Source organism: Homo sapiens, chromosome 5 (genome assembly GCF_000001405.40).
Source record: "Homo sapiens chromosome 5, GRCh38.p14 Primary Assembly".
In the NCBI taxonomy this organism is placed as follows: domain Eukaryota; kingdom Metazoa; phylum Chordata; class Mammalia; order Primates; family Hominidae; genus Homo; species Homo sapiens.
The window spans coordinates 162,588,257-162,596,491 of NC_000005.10; the positions used below are offsets into that span (position 1 = coordinate 162,588,257).

The following is an 8,235-nucleotide window of genomic DNA, read 5'->3' on the forward strand; positions in this document are numbered from 1 at the left end:
TGCATGTATCTTTATAACAGAATGATTTATATTACTTTGGGTATACACCCAGTAATGGGATTGCTAGGTCAAATGGTATTTCTGCCTCTAGGTCTTGGAGGAATCACCACACTGTCTTCCACAATGGTTGAACTAATTTATATTCCCTCCAACAGTGTAAAAGCATTCCTTTTCCTCCACAACCTCGCCAGCATCTGCTATTTTTGACTTTTTAATAATAGCTAGTCTGACTGGTATGAGATTGTATCTCATTATGGTTTTTATTTGCATTTCTCTAATAATCAGTGATTTTGAGTTTTCTTCCGTAAGTTTCTTGGCCACATGTATGTCTTCTTTTGAGAAGTGTCTATTCATGTCCTTTGCCCACTTTTTAATGGGATTCTTTTTCTGTAAATTTGTTTAAGTTCCTCAAAGATGCTGGATATTAGACCTTTGTCAGATTGATAGATTGCAAAAATTTTTCCCATTCTGTAGGTTGTCTGTTTGCTCTGATGAAAGTTTCTTTTGGAGGCTGCATTTCTTGACCATTTTTTAAATTGTTGTCATAAGAAGTATCCTTTGTCCTTTCTAAAATCATCTATTTCAGCTGAAAAAAAGATTTTGTGTTTAAAGATGTGATTTATGTTTTTATTAAAATCATGTTTTATTTTGTAATGATGAATCCACTTTGATTAAAGGGATTTTGGTCATATTATTTGCTGCAGGGAAGTGAAATGTAAAGTTCTCAAGATTTGAAAACATAAGATTTCTTAGATCATTTACAACATAAAAGTTGCTTGATTCTATATATAGTTTCAATCTTTGCATACAGTTAGGATGTGGATTAGTTGATTGTTACTAAAATCCAGCATGATGTGTTTAAAGGTGATACAGACTTATATAGATGCTAGCTAAATCATTTGTCATGGTAGATCAGTAGGTCTTAAATTTTAAAATATATTTGCCAATGTCACCTGGGTGGAAAAATTTAGCCAAAACTTTAGGCCTCATGTGGTGGTTTTAGTGTCAAACGAATCCTACTTCTAGCACTGATAAATTGTGGAACCTGCAATTACTAACTTTATTTCTGAAAGCACTGATTATTACATTTAATAGACTTCACAATAGTACTCACATGTTAAGTATGTTGGGAGTATTAAAACTGCAAAACCTGAAAAGTGGACCACCAAATTCACTCTCTGGCGATTAGTTACTTTCCAATAATTTGTAGTTGATAACTCATTCGACCCACGTACTCATTAACAGGATCTATTTAACAATATTATGATTTTTTCAGACTTTATGATATGTTATATTGGTGTCTTTGAACAAAATAGAAATTTGGCAAGTATCTTTGGAATCCTGTACTAATCTTCCACTCTATAAGCTCCAAAACAGCATGATAACAAAATGTCTCATCCTATAGTAAAAGCAGCCCACAGCAAGGAGATGGTTTAGTATAAAACATACTTTTTTTTCTTCTAATATGTGAAGGGTTTTATCTTATATTTCAATAACCAGCTATTTCATATAGTTTTAGTAGATTATTATAATTCTAATTCCATGAGGGTTCTTTTTTTTTGTTTTGTAGCTCCTGATTTCTTTAATACCACTCTACATGGAAATTTGCATGACCAGTTTCTTTCCAGAGAGAGAACAATCATTGGATATAGCGATAGATCAAATTAATGAGGAAGTGAACGTGTTTCTCATAAATTGGCCATCATAAAAAGACTAAAAATTTCACGTGCTAGGAACAAAAAAGCTATTATGAATTATAAAAGTAAAAGAAAAACAAACATAATATGAAGGAAATTTTGTATTTAGAAAATCTCCGGAAGTTAAGTTTTGGAGTTATGGAGAAAAAACTGAACTAAGGAGTATTCCTAGGAGAAAAGAAGAGGATTTGGTCAACATCAATTTCTGAAAAAAACTTTTTTTGAAAAAAATTGTAAATGATTTAGTTGACTATTATAGTGCCTATGATCTATTTACTTCATATTTTCCAGAATTTCATTTCAAAAAAATTCAGTAGGGAAGTTATATTTGCCCTAAGCTAACTTTAAATCAGATAAGTAACTACTGAAATAGATAATTTTATTCATGAGTATTTTTTCAGTTTGAGTTAAGCCAATTATACATAATGATACATATAACACACGGTAGGATATTCTCTTCAGTCCAATATAGTAATTATATGTGTATATGTGTGTATGTGCACATTTATATGTATATTTATGCCTATGTATATTAAAACCTATATCCGTATACCTAGCTCTCTCCCCACTAAACTTACATAATGACTGAAGCCTCAGCTGCTCTGAGGGCATTTACCGCTTAAGAAACTGGGTTGTTTGATACCTGCAGCTGCATAAAACTCAACAGATAAGGTTTTGGGCAGTGATAGGTGGGGGGATTCCTACAAGATAAAATGATCCTTGAATAACTATGTTTTCATTGACAGATTAGACAAGAAAAAACAATGCCAGCAAAGAAAGGCAAAGCATAAATTTTTGTTTTCATACTAGTGTCATTTGGGAAAAGAAAAGCTTCCATAAGTACCTGTCAATTACACTGCCAGTTTTTTATTTATTTGCTATTTCTAACCTCTATGCTTATAGTCTCTGAAACACTAAGACAAATCTACAGGTATGTTGTAAGTATCAAGTAGTTCTCTTAAAAATTAATGAAACATGTAAACTAGAAATATTAAAAGCATCCAGAGGTAAACAAAGTCCAAAAACAACACTGAAGAAACAAAGCAAGAAGGAACATACAGGATGATATCTTCTAGGACTGTAAAGAAAGGAAGATATAGAAATATATAGAAGACCAGAACAACATTATCAAACAAATTTTAGTAACTGACATTTTTTCATATTTCTAGAACACAACACTCAATGATGTCAGAATGTACATTTTGCTCAAATACACTATAGAGTCCAGAAATAGTCCCAGAACTATATGGACGACTGATTTTTTTGTACAAATACAAAGGTAATTTGATGGAGAAAAGATAGCTATTTTGACAAATAGAGTAGACACAATTGGATATACTTAGAGGAAAAAGAAATAAAAAGAAAGTAAAAACAATATTCTGTCTGTAAATCAACACCATATACAAAAGGCAACTCAAAATGGACATTGCCAGGATTTAAATGTGTCCCCAAAGTTCATGTATTAGAAACTTAATACCCAATACGGAAGTGCTGTGAAGTAGGGCCTAATAAGTGGTTATTAGGTTATGAGGACTCTGCCCTTGTGAATGAATTAGTGTCAGAATCATGGGACTGTGTTAGTTGTTAAGAGAGTGGCCTTTTTATAAAAGCAGGTTTGACCCCCTCTTGCTGGCTTGTTCTATTGTGCTCTCTTACCCATCTGCCTTCCACCATGGGATAAAGCAGCAAGACCTTCACCAGATGTAGGCCCTTTGACCTTGGATGTCTTAGCCTGCAGAATGGTAAGAAAAAAATGTAATTTATTTATAAGTTACCCAGTCTGTGGTATTCTATTATAGCAATACATAAAAAACTTAGACAAACATACATGTAAATCCAAAACCTTAATAAAACTATAAATTGTTTTTAGCTAACATAGCATAAAATTGTCATGACTTTGAGTTAGGCATAAAGAGAAAAATAATTCCTCAGTACAATGGAACAAGAATATGATGAATGGCAGACTTCTAATCTGATACAATGGAAGCCACAAAGCAATGGGATGAATGACTGAAATAAAAGAAAAAATTGGACAAGAATTCTTTATACAGCAAAAGTATCCTTCATAAATGATGGGGAGAAAAGGTATTTGTAGATAAACCAAGACTAATAGAATTTATTGCTAGCAAACTTGCCTTTCAAGAAATACTATTGGAAGTCTCTGAAGGAGACATTCTAGCTAATATAGCAACAACTCTGGTTTCTGATTTTTATTTTCCCCCCTGAATTTTTTTGTAAGTATCATGTCCAGACTAAATTAATTATATCTGTCTTTCTTACGGTGCATGTTAGCTGATGTTCAATTTATTATGATTGTTATTATTATTTTAAGCATGGCAGCCTAGAAGTAGCTGTATGTCTGCATTGCAGGGGCAGGACTAAGGTGAGGCAAACAAGGAGGCTTGGGAGGAAAACTTAAAGAGGCACTTGCTCACAGTATTGTGCAGTACAGGATTGGTTCATGTGTCTGTGTGTAGTCTGGATGGTAAACTCAAAGCTAGGCAGTTTTCAATCTGCCCTGATTTACTTTTTGCTGGAACCTCTCGTATATCTTTTGGATGTGTGTCCAGTCTCCTGCAAGCCAGTAATATGTGGATATATTGAACCATCTCCAACCTTTGAAGCAAATGTGTGCAGGCTCTGTGTTCAGCCAAACATACTTAGAGTATGTCAAGCCTGTCTCTGACCATCTTGCCTCCCAGATCCTCCTGCTAAATCCCTGGTTAGTCTGTTGCTCACTTCAAATGGGACTACAATCTTCGTCTAGGCTATATTTAGGCCTTTCCCTTCCTCTGCTGGATATGGGTTTACTGTCTTCCACTAGAAATTAATTAATCCCTTTTCCAGCCTCAGAACTGCTGATTTTCTTAGATTGTCCTCTGTGATAGAATCACCATGCCAACTTAGCTGAGAGACTGGGTGAAAGGGATTGCTCCAGGCAAGAATGCTATAAACTCTGACTATTCTTGTCTGAAATTTAGTACTTTCTAATGAAAAGAAAAACCAAAAAACCTCATCTCAGCTTGCTGTACACTTTGGGCTGCCTCCCAGAGCATATAGAGTCATTTTTGGCAGTTCTATCCAAGTGTGTAATTGCTTTTGGGGAGAGGATTTGCCAGCCTCCTCACCCTGACATGCTAGAGGTAGCCTTCTTTCATTTGACCATTTGGGGCATATTTTTTTCACATATGAATTGAGCCTACTGCTGAATGTGCCAATTTCACAGAATGTGTGAAAGGATCAAATGATTATAATAGGTAGTATTTACTGATGGCTTTTTAATTCTATAAACTATTCTAAGCAATTAAAATATTTTACTGTATTTAATTCTCAAAAACTTTGAATGCTTACACACCCTAGTTATCCAATTCTAGAGATTAGAAAACTGAAGGAATTGAGAAGTTAAGTTGTCCAAGGTCAGAGCTAGTGAGAAGAGAATGGATTCAGACCACGAAGCTGAACTGTTCACTCCCAAATTCTGCTACCTAAATTAAAAATTATAAGAATAAGATTTTGCTTTTGTTGTCTTTCATATTCTATCCCATGCTCCATATATTTATAGAACTTGTCAATCACTGATTCATCTAATGATTCTTTTGTATCTGTATCAGCTCCATGTCTCAGAGTGGATGATCTGTAGTTATAAATAGAATCAGAGTTTGCAGAACAGAGGGCAAAAAGCCAGAGATTTTGATTAGGAAACTGAGGGCCACGACATGGAAATCATAGAGCAAAAGAGCACATGACCTGGTTGGTTGTCATTTTGATAAAGTGATTTTTTTCCCTTTGAGGATGGTCAGAGTTTATGAGTCATTTTCATACAGCTGTCTGAAACTTCTTTCTGATAAGCAAAGGTGTGCTGACAAGCAAATCATATATATATTTCTCCATACCACTGTATCTTCAGACTTGAGGACATAACACGTAGTGTTTTATTGTCTTATCATAATTTAATTTTTTACCAAGGTCTGACTAGATATACAGAAAGGCTATCAGTGGGAAGGATGCAATTGCAGGCTGGGTAATGACACATTTCTCATAGAGATGGATAGAACACAGAAAACAATCTCCCCACTTTATCAGTTTATGTCATGGTGTATTTCCATTGGTGGCCACATGGAGGACATGCAGTTGAAGCCTCATTTTACATACACAAATATACTCTAGATCCCTTGCAATAACAGGCATTCACCCTAAACTAGCCTGTCTCATTTGTCAACATAATGTCCAGCATAAAAAACAGTGACTGCTTTTTATTTTAAATGCCATTCATTCTGTATTTATTTGTTTTTGAAGTAAATGTCAGTTGGGGAAAACAATGCACCCGTCTTTAAGTTGGAGGTAACTGAATTATAAAGCTCTTCTGATTTCATACTGAAAGTACTTGGGCTGGATAATAGTGATGCCCAGGAGTGTACCCCTACAATCAGGCATCTTGGATTCAAATTCAGCTCTATCACCTACTAACAAGCACTGCAGTATTGGCCTCATCCTATTAATTCCCTGAGCATTGGTTTCATTACTGTCTATAAAAACACTTTTCTAACCTATCTTTTAAAGCTTTTGTAAGGGTGAAATAATATAACTTTATAAATTCTAATAATAAATGCAAAATTACTATATAATTATCAGTTAATGATATTTTGTTAATGAAAACCATTCATATGCAAGTTTCACACATATTTTTACAATGGATTGTAATAATTATGCTTGCTGTTAATATGGATTACATTAACATTATTCTTCTATAATTTTATTTTCATACTGAGACCCTCCTGATGGTCTCAAATTTAATTTTAAGAAAGAAACAACTAAAAGCAAGTTGAAATTATTTCATATGGAGGATGGGATTATTTTATTGGTGGGCCACAATTAAATCATTTTGTACTGCAAGATAATCATTACAGGCATCAGATATATCAGAGCACAAAGACAACATTCCATGAATAGGGTAGGTGAATCAGCAGAATGTAAATGGCTAAATGTTGTAGGAGAAAGAGAATGAGATTTAAAATTGAATGGAACCAAATTCAAGTCCTGATTCTGTTAATTTTTAGGCAAAGCACTTAACCTCTTTTTCCTCGTTGATTAAGTGGAGATAACAGAATTGCCTAGCATCTATTGAGTATTCACTATATACAGAGTGAATATATATAGTTTTATATAGCACTATATACAGAGTGCTATATTAAACATACATCATTTACTTTTCAGAAAAACAAAATGAAGCAAGTTCTATTAGTATGCCCACTTTACAGATAATGTTACTGAGGCTTTCTGCATTTGGGTGACTTACTCCAGATCACAAACACAGTATATGGTAGACCCAGTATCTGCATCCAGTCATATGATTCTAAAGCTGTATACTTCATAAATTAAAATATCTCCTTAACACTTTGATATGATTACATTTATATATATAATTTTATGGTTATTTATAGTTAGATGTTATTTGTAATTAAGAGGTTATATTTATACATATTTTTACATATATAGTTTATATATAATGTCTTTATAGATAATCAGCAAATGACCTGTTGAATTCTTCCAGGAAGATATCATCAAAGATTTTTAACAAAGTGAGATAATATTAATTATTTCAGGTATTGAACTATGGGTTTTTCCCCAATTTAATTGATTGGATTTCTATGGATAACATTTTGAAGCAAATGTTATCTATTAATTAAATAGATCAGTAAGAAAAGAAGTCTAAGCAAGTGAGTGACTTTCTCAATCACACAGCTACTAAGTAGAAAAATTGGGATTCATTTAAACTTGATTTTCTGGCTCTAATGTTCAGATCTTCTCACCATGCCACACTAAGGATTTAAACTATGCTCTATGGTTTATAAATGTATTATTAATAAGTTATTTCTTAACAACAAATCAAATATTTTTTTCTCCATCTTTTTTTTTAAACAGTAACTTTTTCATTATTCTTTGAACATGTGCCAAGAGTATGATTAACATATGCCCGGGAAGATGGATGAATATCTTAGTTACCAACAGGCACCTTGCTATGAATCCATAAACATTTTAAATCAGAGATATGGCAACACTTGATAGACATTCCGTTTTCAAGTGTCTATTACTGTACACATCTTTTAATCATAATTTTCTCACCGTATTACACAAAAGAATTTGTATAATACAAATTGAAACTGTCAAAATCTGATTGCTTAATGCAACATCAAAGTAAATTGATGTGGACTTGGGTGGATAAAGGGGAGAAATCCAGAAATGCCATGTGACAATATATTCTTAATAGTGAGTAAACGGATCTGGTAATCATGGCTCTTTTAATTTGTGGAAGTAAATTGCCTAGACAAGAAATCAGAAACTCAAGAAAATGTCCACATTTCCTCATAGCATAATCCTGTTTTTTTTTTTCTGCATTGGTAAACATACTGGAAAAAAATTATGACTCTGAAGTAGTTAAGAAATCAAACAGACCTGGCTTCAAATCTGATATTCATCCCTATTCAGCTGGAATAACATGAGTGAGCTGCTTAACCTTAACCTAAGTCTCATTCATAAA

The 8,235-nt window shown here is 33.3% G+C and overlaps 1 long non-coding RNA gene across 1 annotated transcript in view; it reads right to left on the minus strand.

The window, feature by feature from the left end:
• The window catches only part of LOC105377697 (uncharacterized), a 56,743-nt gene extending 53,314 nt beyond the window's left edge, over window positions 1–3,429 (minus strand). Inside the window, exon 1 of the long non-coding RNA XR_941159.2 lies at window positions 3,354–3,429. This is a non-coding gene — a long non-coding RNA (uncharacterized LOC105377697). The remainder of the gene's footprint in view (window positions 1–3,353) is intronic.
• Window positions 3,430–8,235: the final 4,806 nt, after the last annotated feature.